This window comes from Homo sapiens, chromosome 12, assembly GCF_000001405.40.
Source record: "Homo sapiens chromosome 12, GRCh38.p14 Primary Assembly".
In the NCBI taxonomy this organism is placed as follows: domain Eukaryota; kingdom Metazoa; phylum Chordata; class Mammalia; order Primates; family Hominidae; genus Homo; species Homo sapiens.
In genome coordinates, this window is record NC_000012.12 from 98,335,169 (window position 1) to 98,354,143 (window position 18,975).

General features: G+C 40.6%; 1 long non-coding RNA gene across 2 annotated transcripts, besides 2 other annotated features; it reads right to left on the reverse strand.

Annotated features, from left to right (window-relative positions):
* Positions 1-2,490: 2,490 nt before the first annotated feature.
* LOC105369933 (uncharacterized) lies at positions 2,491-15,549 on the reverse strand. 2 transcript variants are annotated; one of them, XR_945258.3, is made up of 4 exons: positions 15,353-15,549; positions 9,648-9,850; positions 8,185-8,288; positions 2,491-3,278 (listed from the first exon to the last, which is right to left on the reverse strand). It is a non-coding gene; the product is annotated as an uncharacterized LOC105369933 (long non-coding RNA). The 2 variants fall into 2 exon arrangements; XR_007063419.1 differs by lacking the exon at positions 15,353-15,549 and adding an exon at positions 10,162-10,244.
* Positions 5,739-6,938: an enhancer, noted in NCBI's record as "BRD4-independent group 4 enhancer chr12:98734685-98735884 (GRCh37/hg19 assembly coordinates)". NCBI's record gives its function as "activates an origin of replication core promoter dependent on BRD2, P300/CBP, MED14 and CDK7 cofactors, and independent of BRD4, by STARR-seq in HCT116 cells {active_cell/tissue: HCT116}" and the evidence as "EXISTENCE:reporter gene assay evidence [ECO:0000049][PMID:35650434]".
* Positions 9,537-10,736: an enhancer, noted in NCBI's record as "MED14-independent group 3 enhancer chr12:98738483-98739682 (GRCh37/hg19 assembly coordinates)". NCBI's record gives its function as "activates an origin of replication core promoter dependent on BRD2, BRD4, P300/CBP and CDK7 cofactors, and independent of MED14, by STARR-seq in HCT116 cells {active_cell/tissue: HCT116}" and the evidence as "EXISTENCE:reporter gene assay evidence [ECO:0000049][PMID:35650434]".
* Positions 15,550-18,975: the final 3,426 nt, after the last annotated feature.

The following is an 18,975-nucleotide window of genomic DNA, read 5'->3' on the forward strand; positions in this document are numbered from 1 at the left end:
CCATATAGTGTCATATTCATGCTAAAGGCATGAAGATTTGGTTTTGATCTCTATGTCCTACTAGTTGTGTGATCTTAAAAAATTGACTTCCTCTCTCTAACCCTCAATTCCATGAATGGAACATGAACAGACTGTAGGAGAAAAATAATGACCCCCATGAGTTCTTAGTTTGAATGGACCCATAATACCAAAGACAGATCAGCAAGATGAAAACCAATTAACTGGTATATTTCATATAGACATAGGAGAAACCAGAAAATGAGTAGTTCTCAAAGAGGTGTTGGTTTTGAATTCCAACTTATATAGCATCTTCAGCAAAGAACAGTAAAGTTTTAGAGAAGGGACAAGACAAAGGAAAAGGACTTTGAGTCTCTAGGGGCAACAACTTGGGGGAAGGCAAATAACAGGCAGATAAATGTTAGTTAATAAAGCTTGTTGAAATAGATTATTCTGGTGCCATCTTTAGGCTGATGAGGGGCTAAAGCTGTCTTCAGTGGTTAAGCTTTGTTCTTCCTGGTAGAGAGGAAGGCAAAATACCTTTTGTCTTTGTAAATCTAAGTCCTGCTTCTAGGCAAGTAAAGGGAAACAGAAGGCATTCCTGCATCTGCTTCTTCTTGTCTTCGGTGCAACTATTCTTCATATTTTGAAGTGACATATTCTGGTCTTCCACAGGCTCACTATGCTAAGCCCATAAGACTTTGAGAATTCAATGAGACAACATGCTTAGCCTTGTGCCCAACCTGGATTTAGCCCTCAGTAGATCTTAGCAATTATTATTTGTCTATAAAAGAAATTCACACAAGAATGACATTTTAGAGTCCTTTAAAGGACTAAATAAGACTAAGAACAGGGAGTTACTAACAGTCACATTTGCCAGGTGTGACCTTGTACTTTTGATCTTGCTAACCCACCTGTCATATCACCCAACTAGCACCCAACAGAGCACATCCATGGCAATTCGATGGTGACTCTCAACCTGTTTTGAACTTCACAACAATGAGTTATAATTTCTCATTAATACATTAATGTAAGTTTAACAATAATATACTTACTACTAGTTATTTTTAAAATCTTGATTACCTGCTAATTCCTTTCGTGCCAGACCTATATACTGCAATCACACTCTAAGATGGATATTTTCATTCCACTGCAGATGAATATAGGATTCTCTTTAACAGCCAGGCCTCTCATGGAGGGGACTGCCTTGTTTAAGGCCACTTCCATAAAAGATGAATAGGATACACCCTTTTCCTCTTTTCATCTTCCTCGTCTCCTCCTTTCTGCTGCTTGAAGCATGGGGTGATGGCTGGGACTCCATTTGCAGTGATGAAGTCAGGAGCTGCACCCTAGAGATGGTGGAAGAAAAGCTGGGAGCATCCTAAATCCCAGACAGCTACAGCCACCATGCAAGCCCTGGACTGCCCACCACTAGACTTTGCTGGGGAGAGAATAAAACTCCCTATCAAGCTAATATTATTGAGTCTCTGTTAATCACAATCAGTCCTACTCCTGACTGGTGGGAGAGGGCACAAACTTTACCCAGAAGCCAGTCTCAGTTAAGGTCAAAGAAGATGACCTCAGATGATATCTGGGTCACACCTATTTTAAAGATGAAGAAACAGAGGATCAAAGAGGTTAAGTGACCTGCCCGAGCTAGGTAAGTGGCCGAACTGGAATTTCAGCCAAGGTCTACCTGACTAAATTTCTGCATTTTTTTTTATCACCCCTAATTCTAATTTATCTCTTCCTTCTCCCATCTTTCCTGATTTCTGCCTCTCCCTTGGAGCTGACATTAACACTGCTTTTCAGATATTAAACTTGGCTCCCTTCTCAGTTACAGTCTGCAGTTTCACTCTTCCCTTCCTCTAATTGTGGTCAGCCTCTAGACCCCTGAGAACACTGTCCCCTCCCCAGTCCAGTCAAGACTAGCTCCCTTGGCTCTATTCCAGGGTACATGCATACGACCAGCATTCCTGCTGGATTTCCCCAGTAACAGGGAATTAGACATTAATTCGGCTACACTTTCCATAAGACTTATTAAAAGTTAGGCACAAGTGCATTTTTGCCTTTAAGTTGAATCATAGTGAGATTGAAGAGAATTTCTAAATATAGGAGGATAACACATTCAAATCAGTTATTAAAGGAAGCTAGAGGTGTGTAGGGTATGTCCTTCAACCTCCTGAGATTGATATCAGGGGAAAACATGCTCTTTAAAAAAAAAATTCTAGAATGCCACTGTGAGAGAGAAAATGCTAAGTGGCTTGACCATTTTGGCATTTCTTTGGTTCAAGTTTAATAAATTCCTTCTTAAAATATTGTTTTCCTATTATGAAAGTAGTTCATGTTAATTTAGAATAATTATAAAATAAAGAATTCTAACTCAATAAGAATCACTGTTAATATTTTGGTATTCTCTACTTGCAGTCTCTTTGCTTCATAAATTTTTTATACCCTTGTGATCATGATATATAAAATACTTACATAGAGTGATTATTCACAGCAACTATTTTATTTTTGAAGCTATGAATACAGATTGTAAAATATATGGAAAATAGAAAGAAGTATGAAAAAATAAAATCATCCAGAATTTCAATGCCCAGAGAAAATTAATAATAAACATTTCAGTTTTTGTCCCAGGAGCCTTCTTGCTATATATTTTTACATGATTGAGATCAAACTGTAGAGCCTAAATCTTAAGTAAATTCAATACAGAAACACCCAGGGTATATATAGAAGATGTTGCAAAGAGTCTTTCCCTTAGATACCTGGTATCTACGATCATTAATATGAATTTTAAAGAAGCAGAAAATCATAGCTAAAGTTCTCTGGCAAAGAAAATGCCTAATATATTGCTCTTTACAACTCTGATTTTATGGAAGGAAAAAATACTATTTGTTTAGCAATTTTTCTAGCACGCTATCCCCAGTATGTAAATAGTTTTGTCATTCTTGGTGAGTATAGCAGAATAACAACAATTATTGTTTCAAGTGGTCTTCAAACCTGGCAACAGCATCCTTCTAAATTATGGTGGGAAGAATGTGGCCCCCAAAAATACATTTCTTGGTACTGGGAAAAGGGCAAAAACAAGAAGGGAAGAGCTGAGAGACCCACTTTCTTCCTTGTCACATCAGCCATGTGGCTTTTCTTCACACCTTTTCTCTTCATCCTGTCTACTAATAGATCTGCTGTCTCCATGCACAGAGGACATAGCCTCTTGCTTCATCTGTGTTTCTGCTTTCCTCTTTTCTGCTTCCATGGTTTTCTTGGAATGGCATCTCCTGAAGAAAGGAAGACAGAAGGAGGAGGCAGTGGCTCCCATGGTGGACCTACACAGAGGTACAGTTGAAACCCTGACACAAGAGTCTTCCGAGTTCCAGAGCTCTGGAATTACATTTGTGATTAAATGAATCCCAAAGAAAGCCCCAGGATTACTGCATGCCCTGTAGAGTCAGCCCATTATAATCATAATGCATATAAAGTCCCTATACTACAGCTTCAGAGCAGTCTTGTGTTTAAAGAAGCAGAGCCCAGGAGTTTTTAATCTTCCTTCTGGTCTCTTTCAAATATTAAAGAGTATCCACAGCAGCTCATTAAAACTCCCAGGACTGCCTCTTTCTATTTCCCCATAAGATCCCTTTGTCTCTCTTTCATTTATACCTCCCATCCCTACCAGCCTGGTGCCTCAATGGTCTCTTTCTTCCTAGGCCTCTAGGAACAAGCTGTTGACACTCTTGTCTGCCACTTGACCTCAGAGAAATTGATGTTCTTCTAGGCTTCTGGCTTGTTTTCTCCTGAGAAGCCCCCTAGTGTGTCTGGTTTTCTCTTGGAAAGAGGAAGGGGTGGGAAGCTAAGAGAACAAAGGGCAGGTGAAAGAAAAATGTGGTTTCCATCCCATCATACAGTATGAAAGTGGTCTTGGAAAAATGAGATGTTGATGGTGTATGGGGAGGAAACTCATGAGATCAGAGCACAAAGCATCACTACTCAAGGAACACTGTGGAGTGCAAAGCATTCTTGTGAGGCTTGTCCATCCTTCTCAAGTTCCAAAACTCTTGCACACAAGTCTGGATTGGGGACACTGGGAAACAAGTCTAGATTGGGGGACATTGGTAGGCAAGCCTGTGTAGGAGCTGGCATGAAGAAAAAAGGTAAGAGCAACTCATTCCATTCCTGTCCACCAGTATTTGACTTACGCGTTTATCTTTAATTATATTTCTTTGATTTCTCTTATCAGAATCTGACATTGGGGGACATTCATGTGCAAAGTTCACACAGAGAGTAACAAAAGCATATATCACACTGGAGATGTAGCACTAACAACCTCCACCAACCCTGCACACCTCCACCTCTTCTTCAGCTACCTCCAGCTGCCACCAATGACACCACCTGCACCACTAACAGTGTGCACATTACTAGTTTTTGTTGTTGTTTTTTTTGTTTTGTTTTGTTTTGAGACGGAGTCTCGCTCTATCACCCAGGCTGGCAATGGCAACGTCTCGGCTTGCTGCAACCTCTGCCTCCCTGGTTCAAGCCATTCTCCTGCCCTCAGGCTCCCAAGTAGCTGGGACTACAGTCATGCACCACCACACCCAGCTAATTTTTGTATTTTTAATAGAGGTGGGGTTTCACCATGTTGGCCAGACTGGTCTCGAACTCCTGACCTCAAGTGATCCGTCCGCCTCGGCCTCCCAAAGTGCTGGGATTACAGGCGTGAGCCACCACACCAAACCTAGATTTTTCTTTTCTCAAAGATAATTTTTTTTTAACTGAGTCTTGCTGTGTCGCCACACTGGTGTGCATTGGCGTGATCTCGGCTCACTGCAACGTCCACCTCCCAGGTTCAAGCGATTCTCCTGCCTCAGCCTCCCTAGTAGCCAGGACTACAGGCACGTACCATGCCCGGCTAATTTTTGTATTTTTAATAGAGACGGGGTTTCACCATGTTGGCCAGGATGATCTTGATCTCTTGACCTTGTGATCCGCCTGCCTGGGCCTCCCAAAGTGCTAGGATTACAGGCATGAGCCACTGCACTCAGCCTAAAGTTAATTTTTTAATATGAAATATATAGAGAATAAAAGTACCAGTGAAAACAGATTATTGTTAACATACTGTTATGCATTTTAGTCTTTTTATGGTTTTATTTATGTTGAGTCAGTGAGACAATTCGCATGATTCAGATTATAAAAAGTATGAAAGGACTTAGAGTGAAATTCTCCCCCTTCACTGCTGTTGCCCCAACATCCAGCTCTCTGCCCCCAGAGCCTACCATGTTTCAAATATTTTTAAAATGAAAGAAATTAAACACTGTAGATACAGTTAATGTCTCCTTTTCCTCATTCTTTTTCCATGCTCCCTAGAGGCAGCCATTATCATAAATTTGATGAATCTTTCCAATGTCTTTTTATAGTTTTTGCATACATATGCATGTACTTGTGAACAGTAGAGAGTATTGCACTGTGTGCTCTTTTTTTTTGTAATTTACATCAATGGTATCATACGTTTTAGCACTACCCTATGCTGCCAGCTCATTCTTTTTAACTGCTGTATGATATTCTGTTGTATGACTATATTATATTTTATTCATCCATTTTCCTATTGATAGGAAGTTCTTTCCTATTTTCCAATAGTATAAACAATGCTACCACTTTGCTGTTTTCTAAATTAGAATAACTGTTAGGTCCATTTCTCCTCAGATGAATTGATAAATCCCAAATAACCTAATCAAAGCTTAATAGGATATTTTATAAAAATTGATAAGCTAATTCTGAAGTTCATCTGGAGGCAAAAACAAACAAAATTGGCAAATATTTCTTGGGAAAAAAAAGTGGGGAAATTTGCCCTGTAGTTTTATAATCTGCTTTTTTTCACTTCGTGTATTATTCACAGGAGAGGAGCAGTTGGAGCTTCTAAGGAGGAGGAGCGGCTCTTTTCCCCTGGAGGTTGTTTTGTCTAAACACGATGCTAGAAATGCAGCAGCCATCTTGCTACCAGCCTGACGATAATGCCAACATATCAAGGTCCAAACAAGAAGCACCAAGAAACTGAGATGGACTTTGAAATTCCATATCTGGAACGAGTTCTACTTCTGTATTTGTTGTTTAGGTAATAAATGTTGTTATCACCTAATTACCTAATTTAAAGGGATAAGGAGGAAGGAAGGATTATCTTATTTAAAGCAAAAAGCATGCTGACTGATATGTTTTATAATAATGTCGGATTTCATCAATCCTGGACTGTTGGATTTTTAAGCAATTTCCAATTTTCTTTTATTTCCTTCAAACAAAATGCTCCATGGAATATCCTTGTTACTCAGTCTCTGTGCAAATCTATGATTATTTTAATAGTATAGATTCCTAAATAATTCCTACTTAAGTGGAATTACTCAACTCAGAATATGGGGAAAAAACAGATTTGTCTCATAAAATACAACATAACAAATTCTAATTCAGTAGAGGAAAATATGGAAATTCTAAATAATCTCTGAGTTCTAACCCCAGGCTCATTGTATCCTGTTTTACCATCTTGGGAAGGTCAGAACGTCTTTTTGCCCTTTCAGATCTCAAGGCCTCTATTATATTTGCTGCCTGTAGAATAACAGTAACAACAATAGTAATAACAATAGTTAAGATGTTTAAGCATCTTTTCTGTGCAACGAAGTATTCATACATTATCTCATTTAATCTTTATAACAATCCTTTTGAGGAGATACAGTTACTAGTCCCACTTTACAAATGAGGAAATGAGACTCAGAATGAGTTAGTGACTCGTCCAGAATCCAGCTGCTACATGAAAGGGCTGAGATTCCAACCTGGGTCTCTTACTGCTCATAATCCTGTTTCTCAAATCTCTCCCAGGGTCTTTGCTGAGAGCTTCACTTCCAGATCTTTCCATCCAGTTTCCTACCTCTGTTATGTGGTCTTTTAGTCGACATTAAAAGAACATTCAAAGAAGAAAGAAGGCAAGTCAACAGACATTTTCCCAGCAGGGTAACCTGCTCCGTAAGTTACTCTGCAGATGTGAAGCCTCACCTGAAGTGAAGCCTTGGTCTTCGTGGATTTGGACAAGAGAAAACATTTTTCAGGAATTTGCTTATGTTATCACTGTCGTGATCCTTCCTTCTCTCTCAGAACTAAGTCAAAATCCTCAGCAAGTGCTACCAAAGGTCACACACAAAAATCTTCTGTAACAGACACTGTTGTCTTCCTAGCCTCTATTCCTCCCTTCCTCCTTCCGCAGAGCCCCTTAGCTTAAAAATTCTCCCACTTTTTCTTTCAATGGAGTTGAATTCAATCTCTCTACCCTACTGCAGTGTCTCTTTGGCACTCTCAGCATTTTTCCTAGAACTGCTAATACAAAGATAATATCTCACTAGATGTGAACGAGGAAGCGTAGCATCCTGGTGGCCACTAACAGATACCCTGGGATCCAGAGGGAAGCCAGCCTTAGGATGAAACTGGCATCACAATGCATGGAAGATAGAGAGAAAACATCAACAACAAAAAAAGCCTGATTTATTCACTGATGCACTGGATCAAGTCTTACCCCAAACACACTCTCCCTCCCACTTTTCAGATACATGAGCTAATACATTCCCTCTATTGTGTAGGCAAATCTGGTCAGGTTTTTGTTCATTGCAACCAAAAGTGTCCAAGCTGGTCCTTTTTCTCTCTGGCGCCTTCTAGCACAAAACTTGGATCACAGCCTCCCAATACATGCAATGCTAACATTTATGTAGCACCTAACGTATGCCACACACTATCCTAAGCACTTTATTTGTATTTTGGCTCATTTAACCCTGACAACAGCCCTATGAGCTAGTTTTGGAGGGATTTTTAAGCCCATTTTTTACATGAGGAAAATAAGGTACCAAAAAAGGTTAAATAACTTTGCCAGAGCTAACAGGTGGTTGAGCCAGGATTTAAACCCAGTCAGATCTTTTTGCTCCAGAACTCTTGCTCTTAACCAGTTGGCTAGCAGCTCTCAAGTGCTGTCCCGGGCTCCCCTGCTGTGGGAGTCCAAGAGCATGCATATTGGACTGGGGGAGTTGGGAGTGGGGTGTGGGTGGGGAAGATGCAAATGTTGATTTTCCACTTATATTTTAGGGAACCCGAAAGTACACAGGTCAGTTTTCATTATCCCAAAATCGAAACTGAGACTTTGACTGTGTCGCTCCCCCTACTCACTGATGAAACTTCTTCTGCCAGGTTATTTCTCAGCTGCTGACAGTTGCTGTCTACAGCTGGGTCAATATTTTCATGTCTACTCATAATCCTGTGTGTCAAGATCCCTGAAAAACAAATGCCAAGATTTTTTCTTCATGTTTTAGCCTCTGCTTTGATTTTAGACACCAAATCTAAAGTCTACCTCTCAGGTATTATATGTGCAGAATTCAAGAGGTATAAATTCATGTAGGATTTATTCACTTAAACATATGTGAGGTCTAAACCTTGGTGCCTTTTTTACCTTTGTTCTTTAATTTTTTTTAAGCAATGGGGTCTTGCTATATTGCCTAGGGTGGTCTCAAATTCCTGGGCTCAAGCGATCCCTCCACCTTGGCCTCCCAAAGTGCTGGAATTACAGGCATGAGCCACCACACTCAACCCTATTGTGTTTTGAAGCAAAGCTGTCTGTGCAGATTCTTCATTTTTGCTAAGGTGGCTGCAGAAGCTTCAATCAATGATAGTTGGACTTCAAACTCTGCCTTTATTTTCATGCCAAATTCTCTTAAAATTGTCATTAAAAAAGAATTAAACGCAGAGTGCTGCAAAAATTCTCCTTGCCCTCAGGAGCTTGTGATGTTTTAGATTAATCATAATCTGTTTACCATAACTGAACAGGTACCATTTTCTTTATTACTTCATCTCCCCCCTCTTTGGTTGTTTGTTCACTTGCTATTTAATTTCTATTTATTAGTTCAACCATGAAAAGGGCCTAATAAGCAAAAGAAGAAAAAAAAAAAAGCAGGCAGTACTTTCAAGTTCAAAAGACTAGCTGATGGGAGATCACAGTTCATCACAACTGCAAGTCTGAGATGGAATGTTTAAATATGTACATTTCAAAGTGAACCAGAAACCTTTCCCTGAGAGCCAGTCGAGGTGAAAGGAAGTTTTCAATATTCTTGCCCTATGCAAATGATTCTCAGAGTGGTCTGTGGGATGAATCTAAGTCCTTCCTTGCAACCAGATCTTTGATGGAGATACCTGAGTCGCCCTTCTAACAATTTAGGATTAACCTTGTTTTTCTGAACAACGTAATTGGGTTCAGATATTATCTCATCTTGTTTCCAAGGCCGCTAGCCAAGAGCAGAACCAAACATGTCATTTCTGGAAGGCAGAAGAAAGGCACTGACCTGCAAAAATCTATAATTTGGCCACAAGTACGTAGTGTAATCCTTTTTTTGTTTGTTTGTTTAATAATAGATGGCTGTGATGGCTAATTTTATGAATCAACTTAATTGAGCTAAGAAATGCCCAGACAGCTGGTAAAACATTATTTCTGGGTGTGTCTGTGAGAGTGTTCCCAGAAGAGATTAACATTTGAATCAGTAACTGAGTGAAGAAAGGCTCCCTCACTAATTCAGGTGGGCATTATTCAATCCATTCAGGGCCTGGATAGAACAAAAAAAGCAGAGGAAAGGCGAACTTACTCTCCGCTGGAGCCAGGACATCCATCTCCTCCTGTCCTCAGACACTGGTACTCCCTATTGTTAGGCCTTCTGGCTCAGATGGAGATTGTCGCCATTGGCTCCCCTGGGTCTCTGGCCTTCAGGTTTGGGCTGGATCTCCACCTGGGCTGGCTTTCCTGCTATATTAGTATGTTTTCACACTGCTGATAAAGACATACCTGAGACTGGGAAGAAAAAGAGGTTTAATTGGACTTACAGTTCCACATGGCAGGGGAGGCCTCAGAATCATGGCAGGAGGCGAAAGGCACTTCTAACATGGCGGTGGCAAGAGAAAAATGAGGAAGAAGCAAAAACGGAAACACCTGGTAAACCCATCAGATCTCGTTAGACCTTTCACTATCAAGAGAATAGCACAGGAAAGACCAGCCCCCATGAATCAATTACCTCCCCCTGTGTCCCTCCCACAGCTTGTGGGAATTCTGGGAGATACAATTCAAGTTAAGATTTGGATGGGGACACAGCCAAACAATATCACCTGCTGTTGCAGACAACTGATTGTGGAACTTCTCAGCCACCATATCTGCATGTGCCAATCCCTCATAGTGAGAGAGGAGAAAGGAAAAAAACCCATCAGGCAGGCAGGGTGGGTCCTCGGTTGAATCCTTTCAAACCAAAGAACAGCCTGCAGGCACAGATAAGGGAAATTGCACAGAGGGGCTTGCCGAAGACATGCCCACAGCTGCACAGATAAGAAAGGCTACACAGGTGACTTGCAAAGACATGCCCACAATGGAAAATTTCATCCCCTGACACATTTGCTGTAAGGGAAACAAAGCAATAGGGAGGAACTCAAGCTAAAGGCCCACATGCACACTAGAAGGATGGGGTGGAGCTACCAGAATGGTACGCCTTATGCAAATGAGATGCCCAGCCCTCAAAGGTTTCTTATAGAAGCTTTGCATTCAACTGTAAAAATGGCGGCTCTCTTCTGGGTCCCCTCTCCACAGCAAAGAGCGTTCTTCTTTCGATTATTAAACTTTCACTACAACCTCACCCTTGGTGTCTGTGCTCCTTAACTTCCTTGGTCATGAGACAAAGGACTCCAGGTACTACCTCAGGCAATGAGACTGCTACATTGTGGTGCATTGGTGAGGCTGTAACAATAGCAAATCTCTTTCTATATATCTATGTATAGCCTATTGGTTCCTCTGCAAACTGTTTTATCAGCAAGGTCTTTAGGACCTGTAACTTGTGTCGACCTTCTATCTCATCCTGTGACTAAGAATGCCTTAACTTAACTGGGAATTCAGCTGAGCAGGTCTTAGCCTTATTTTACCCAGCCCCTATTCAAGATGGAGTTGCTCTTGTTTAAACACCTCTGACATTTCCCCCCTCCCTTTTATAAGAGAATCCTTAATCCTAACGCTTGTAGAGCGATGAAGAACCATCTTCTGCAACTTCTTCAGGCTGAATAAGGGGCGATGATATGCCTGCCTATTAGGTCTCTTGCATTCAGGGTAGAGCGGAGCTCAGTCAGAAAGTGTTGGTATGGCAAGGGCCATTAATAACTCTGAGTTCTGACAAAAGGTGATATCCAAAGTCAGCCAATCAGTGATGCAGTTATTTCCTTTGGGTCGGGGGTTTCCTCAGTTGTCCTCCTTTTCATGGTTTGCCAGAAAGATGTTACTGGAAAGCGGTCCCGATCCAGACCCCAAGAGAGAGTTTTTAGATCTTGCACAAGCAATAATTCGAGGCAAGTCCATAGAATAAAGTGAAAGCAGTTTATTAAGAAAGTAAAGGAATAAAAGAATGGTTACTCCACAGGCAGTGCAGCCTAAATGCTAAGTTCTAAACAAGATATTTTCACCCTCATTATCTCATTTGAAATAGAACTTGAAAAACGAAAGCTTCTGAATTGGTAGTCATCCCATTTTAAAGAGGAAGGAGCTGAAGAAACTTAAGTTCTATTGCAGTGAGTAACATATAGGATTGACGGACTTTCTGCCACCACGCTGCTTTACTGGAACAATCAAAAAGCAAATATGTAGCCCTGGTGCGGTGGCTCACGCCTGTAATCCCAACACTTTGGGAGGCCAAGGCAGACAGATCACCTGAGGTCAGGAGTTGGAGACCAGCCTGGCCAACATGGTGAAACCCCGTCTCTACTAAAAATACAAAATTAATCTGGTGTGGTGGCGGGTGCCTGTAATCCCAGCTACTCTGGAGGCTGAGGCAGGAGAATTGCTTGAACCTGGGAGGCAGAGGTTGCACTGAGCCAAGATCATGCCACTGCACTCCAGCCTGGGCGATAGAGTGACGCTCTGTCTCAAAAAAAAAAAAAAGCAAATATGAATACTATGGATGTTTGATATCAAGACATACAGAGCCAATGACTTCAGTACAAGAGACAAGAGAGTATGAGATAGGTCTCAGCGTGGACGTTATCTTCTCCCATCCTCAGACAGCCACAGAAGGTAGACATACTTGCAGAATTTGAATTACCTGTATCTAAAGTTCCAGCACTACATATATTAATGCAGTACCTAATAAAAATAGGACTATAGCTAGTGTTACAGAAAGACAGTTGATCATGACCCCATGCTTTAAATATAATTATTAAAAATGTATAGGCTGAAGTCTGACCAGTCTGCACATGGTACAGCAGCCTTGGATATGTGCAACACAGGCCAGCATGGGGCCCGAAAACTGAAAACACAGAACCAAGATGCCAACAGAAGGAAAGGATCCAAACAGGGCCAGGATGTTTCCCTTAGGTAGATATGTTATATTATATTATATTATATTATATTATATTATATTATATTAATATCTTAGTCTAGCAGATTGGCAGGAAATATTAGCTTTAGACTCTGGTGCTACGCTTTGATCAGTATAATTTGTTTGCGGCTTAATGTTATGTAAATGATGCCATTCTTTCCTTGGTGTAGATGCAGCCATTCTCAAATAAACACTGATGATCTTTTATTTTATTTTTTATAATTTCAAATTTTATTTTTGATTCACGGGGTCCATGTGCAGGTTTGTTACACGGGTATATCATGTGACACGGAGGTCTGGTGATCTCCTAGAATTCCACATTAAAAGAATTCAAATAAGAAGATATAATAAGAAGAATTCAAAGAGTTCAAATACTCCAAATAAGAGAGGAATTCCATAAACAAGGCTGCCATTTCTACTGCTGTTGCTAAGACTGGTCAGATCCAATTTACAATTGCGCTGAAAAATTTTGATGCCTAGAGGAGAGAGATCATGTAAACAGCATGAACTCTTCCTGACCAAGTTTCATTTCTGTTTGACCTTCTGAACAAGTTCTATTACATATAAAATAAGCAGTATTTTTAAACCTACAGTGCTAAAAGTAAGATTTCAGGAAACTATCACTAACTTACTAAGTGATATGCTTGAAAGTCTAATGTTTCCATAGATAAATCAGAGATTTAAATGTGTGCTTTCTATTATTCTTCCAAAGCTTTCTAAATGCTGGAAGGAAAGATACAGGAATGTATAGATGTCCGGGACCATTTTGTACCATGAATGATTGATGGCCAAAGAAGATTCCAGATTTTTCTTAAACATACTTCATCTTAGAAAAGTTTCCACAGTTTGTATGTATATATTCCTGGTTTTCCTTTCTAAAAAATATGTCCTTTCCAAGGCCAACTCCAGGTATATTAGTCCCACATCTCTCACTGATTTCTTTAACACATTCTCATGAGTTCCTTGCACACCTTCAGAGTATAAGCCTTGGAGAAAGAGGCTTTGTTTTGTTTTATGCAAAACCTTTGACTCCTGTAATGTGGAGTTTACACCTTTAGTGTCAGATAAATGACAAATAATCATTGTTAGAGGCAATAACACATTCAGATGTGAAGTTTTACAACAATCTCTGTTTTCCTTGAGCTGCTAAAATCATTAGATTTATGACATTCATGGATTAGTGGAACTGTATGCCTCTGCTCTGTTTACTTAATTTTTGAATGGACTGGAACGTGCTTTTAATGTGGAAATCGTATTACAGTGTTCAAATAATCTTGTACTCTGAACAAGATTATTAGCTGTAGAAACCAAATGGGATTTTATCCATTGTCATCATCCTCTATTTCCTTGACATGCTCATCCCATCTATTGACAAACCAAATTTGATGTCAGAATCCGCTCCAAAATCCTAACAACATGATTTGTAATTACAGAGCTAACACCTATGAATAATAAAATTGCAAACAAGCAGAGCACCATCAAAAACTCAAGATGATAATTTTTTAATGATAATATTACTTCCTGTGTGTGATAGTATACAAAGCACGGAGCATTGTCTTTCTCAAGACAGAATTCTAGTGAATTTCTGAGCCTGAGCACCATAAGGACAGAGGCAATACGTTTCCCATCAATCTCATAGTAACGCATGTCTTCAAAAGCAGCAAGTCAGTTAAGAGAAAAATATTCTTCCCTCATTCCTCATCTTCCCTCAAACACTAAAGTTAATTACATGAAGAATGCATGAGGAATTAAATGCCCTTAGCCTCCAGCACGATAGCACTGTTCAGAACTCCAATTCTAGTCCTGTCATTGATCTTCTGGATTTACTTACATGCCCTTTAAAATTTATCTCAATTTCAGTTTGTCCTAGAACCACGAAATGTTAGAGACCACCTAGTAGTCTAACACCTTCATTTTTAGGTGAAGAAACCAAGGCCTCCTTAGCTTAAAGGACCAGGCCAGAGTCATCCTCCTTGATTCTATATAGCTTATTCCAAGTTCAGACCCATCCAATGCTACATGGCAGGTCTCCAAACTCTTCTTAGACTTGTTCCCAAACTGCTTGCCTTGACACTATTTGAGTGCCACAATCCAACTCTCTTTCAACCCATTGCCCTGTCCTCTTATCTCCCTACCTTCAACTCTAACAGCAGGTCTGTTTTCCTTTAAGTTACTCTGCTAAATTGCAAATATGCTGGGAGGTGAAAGTGCCTTATTATCCAACAATATCTACCATTTATTGAATACTACTTATGCCCCAGACACTATATCAGTCATATCACAAACACTCTTCCACTTAATCCTCACAACACTCTGAGACTGGTGTCATTATACAGATTGGAAAACCAAGGTCCAGAGAACATAATTAACTTGCCTAAGGTTGCACAACCTTCAGCAACCAGAATTTGTAAGTGGTAACAACCAGAATTTGAACCTACCTCTGTCTGGTGCTCTTAACCACTATGCTTACTGCCTGTTATTTCCTACTAAAGAATTTGGCCATTCATTCATTCAAAACACACATGTCAACCATCAAATATATGCCAGGTGTAGTCCTGGAAGAACAGGGAGTACAGAGATGAAAGAACCAGGGGCAGCAGTAAAGGGCAGACACTTGAGACCCAAACGATTATTCCCCAGAGCAGTGATGAGGGTGGATGAGCCTCGTCACACCACGGGGCTTACCAAAGGCAGAGCCTAGGATTATTTCAGGCAATGCTAAATTAGGCCTGGTCCGAAGAGAACATTCTTCTAAGCCTCCGTATACTCAGGAGGCTCTACAAATTCCAAACTTTTTTACTAAATTTCCTTCCAGCCCTATTTGATATTCCCCTGCAGGCTCGTTTTGCCTGAGTCTATAAGTGTAAGGAAACATGTTTTTTTCCCCTGCATACCCAGACAGGATGTTCAGTCATTCACTCCTCTGTTTTTATTTGTTATGCACTCACATGCTGTGGGTGTTTTATAAGTTGCTAATGTTTGCAGAATTTGATTATCAGGCTGCTTCTCCGCCCCTTTACTCGTTCCCCAACTGCCAATGGAGTGACGGTTCTTCCTCCTGTATTTGAACATTGGGTTCAGGCTTTCCTTTTTAAAAGTACTTCTGCTGGGCCGGGCGCGGTGGCTCACAAGACCATCCTGGCTAATACGGTCAAACCCCGTCTCTACTAAAAATACAAAAAATTAGCCGGGCGTGGTGGCGGGCGCCCGTAGTCCCAGCTACTCGGGAGGCTGAGGCAGGAGAATGGCGTGAACCCGGGAGGCGGAGCTTGCAGTGAGCCGAGATCGCGCCACTGCACTCCAGCCTGGGCAACAGAGCGAGACTCTGTCTCAAAAAAAAAAAAAAAAAAAAAAAAAAAAAAAGTACTTCTGCTGTCAGGTCATTTAGCAGCATCATTTATCTATAGGTTTGGGCTCTGCCTTTTTTTAAAAAAAGTTTCTTCCTTCAACAAAGCTTTCGAAGATAGGGTTCAGGGCTTATCACACTGTGCTCTGGTCATTCGGAACTTGCATCTCAAATGTATTTCACTTACTGCATGTTTTTTTCTGCTTCCTCTTCCACGACTCAGATTTGTGAAGTGTTTTGTAACTGTCTATGCAAGACGGGGTTGGGGAGGTAAATCGCCTGTGTTTCTGATTTCTCATTTGAGTCTCCGTGTTTGTCTTAAATGGTTTCGTTGAGCTTGGGAAAAACAGCAATCAAAGCCACAAAGTGTCCATGAGACATAAGCAAAGCCAAACAGTTAAACCCTACAAAGATGAATTATGAAAAAAGAACTATGATTTACTCATAGCAAGAAATTAAAAAGTCAAATAGAAAAGGGACAGTGAAGTGCGAGAAGGAAATGCTGACAGCTAAATTACCCTTCAAGTAAAGGAAGATAATTCTCCTGCCTAGATGAGGGGGCATTCATGCCAGAGCTCAAATTTAAATTCCAACAGCCCTGTATGGACCTTCAGACCATTATTCGCTTTCTTGTATTCAGTTATCAGCTCTTTCTTCATTGCTTAAATGTTTGGATACATCCAGCCAGAGGCTTTTTGGTTGATGAGCACATTTCCACAAAGCAGAAAAAATAAACATAATATGGTTGCTGCCTACTTCAAGAACCCCATATGGCCACTTTTAGACAGGGGTGTCCACCTCTGGAGACCAGCTTCCCATATGAAAGGGTGTTTGTCTCATTCTGAGACCAGCTTTATAAATCAATTACAAAATTCAAATCTCATTCTGTCACTTCAGCCACGTAAGAAAGGAAGGGGAGACAATTTTAATGACTCTGGAAATTTCCATATGCGTAAAAGCTGTAACTAGCAAATATTCATTTTCTTTCTTGGCAGATGACTCTGGTAATTAAGGTAAACTACTAATAACCCTTTCCAGAGTGTAGGATAGATTGTTCCCAAACATATTGAGAATAATCATATTGAGCAGCTTGAAGCCCAGACAGATCCTTAGAGACAGCCCTGCCAAGAACAGAATCTCCCACAAGGAAAAAAAAAAAAAAAAAAAAAAAACCTGGAGAAATCAAAACCCCTGAGTCTGTACTGAGGTTTTAATCTGCCTGACTTCTTCTATGCTGCACGCTTTTATGATCATTTGCTGCATGTCAATTCTTCTCAAAAGTTGATGTACATATTATCCTTTCTTAATGCAGGCATTTTAGTGGCTGTGTTTGCCAGTCTTGAGCTGTGGTTGGCAATTTTGGGCTGTAAAGGGTCAGATAATCAATATTTTCAGCTTTGCCGGCCATATAGTCTTTTCAGCAACTGTCAACTTGGCCATTGTGGGGAGAAGCAGCCACAGACAATAGTAAATAAATGAGCGTGGCTGTATTCTAATAAAACTTTATAAACACAGATGGTGGGCCATATTTGGCACAGGGGCTGCAGCTTCCTGATCCCTGCTCTTGAGGATAAGGTAACAGAGAGTGTGACACAGAGTAAGCCAGTGGCTTTCCCTCCCCAGGGTCCAAACTTCCTGGCACCTGACACAAGCTATATCACCCAGAGAAGATGAGCTCAGCCTATAGGGAAAAACAACCCATTTTGAAAGTCTAGACTTCCCGAGCCCTCTAACAACTATGACACATCACAGCATTATTTAGTCTCTCGCTCATTTACAATGAGTCACTGCTTGATTTGCAAGACTCCCCACTTCACTGATAATATTGAAAGCCCACTAATATTAGTCACAGCAAGAAGCTGCCCCTAAAACTGGGAGAGGAAATTACTTTGCAGTTTTAATTTCAGACTTTGAACTAAAATGACTATATATCAAATGGTTTTTAATGCTGTCTTTGGTACTAACACAAACAAGAATGATCACTTTCAATTCATGTTGTTCTCCACAGCAGAACACTGTCTGAAGTCTTGAATTAAGAGATTTGCCCAGATATGCTGTGCAATGTAGAAGACAGGGCAGGGACTTTCGACTCAGACACACTTGGGTTCTGATGCCTGCTGGGCCGTTTACTACCCATGGAACCTGGACGAGTCTTTCAACATCTCTGAGTTTGTTTCCCTGTTGGCAGAATAATGCAATAAGCCCTGCCCTGACTGTCTCTCTACTTCACAGGGTTGTTGGCCATGAATTAGGGGGTTGAGAGCAGAAGGCTATGTAATGAGATCACAGTTAAGGAATCACTTTGTCCATTGTACAGTGCTCCTCACATAGGAAAGAATTATAATTTTTAAGACTGGAACTGGCCACTAGACACAAGAGCACTGATTAATCACTGTCCCCTACTTACACTGCATCCATTTGTGCCTCTGATGTGATCCTCAAAGTAGATTTACCTGTCTAAAATCTGTCTGATCTCATGGATTAAGTTCCTTGAGGAGCATCCTGATGACCACATATTGAGACTGAGATATATTGGAGCTCAGTCCTCCTACACCATTTCCTATCTTCAGAACTTAGAGCAGAAATGACTGAATAAATCTAGAGATAGAAAGACAGGCAGGCAGATGGTACAGGCTCAAGAAGGAAGATACTTTCCCCCCATTCTGAACTCCCTCCTGTCTATTTCCCCTGGAAATACGCAGGAAGATGGTGCACCCCATCGTTCTCTTGGGGGCTGACTTTCCCTGAGAGTGACCATTTTTCCCCTAGGAAAATTTTTCTCCTCAAGATGTCTCATGTCTTGATTTTTCCATTTCTCCTGATTATATCAGTGCTCAAAAAAACTTTTAATTTATTTTCTGCCATGGTGTTGTGCCTTCACAGTGGTGAGAGGCAATGGGTCAGTCTGAGATAGGCCCAGGGATAAAATAGCATTTATCAAAAATTTGCTTTAGAAGAGAGAATGCAATTTAAATGGGATGAGAAGCAAGGATGCCCATTTTGTTTCTGGTTGATAAAACTAAATATTGTCAAAGTATCCATTTCCAACCTAATTAGTTTCATTTCTATTTTTTACATAATTCTCAATCAAAATTCCAATTTGAGGCTGGGTGCAGTGGCTCATGCCTGTAATACCAGCACTTTGGGAGGCCGAGGCAGGTGAATCATCTGAAGTCAGGAGTTTGAGACCAGCCTGGTCAACATGATGAAACCATGACTCTACTA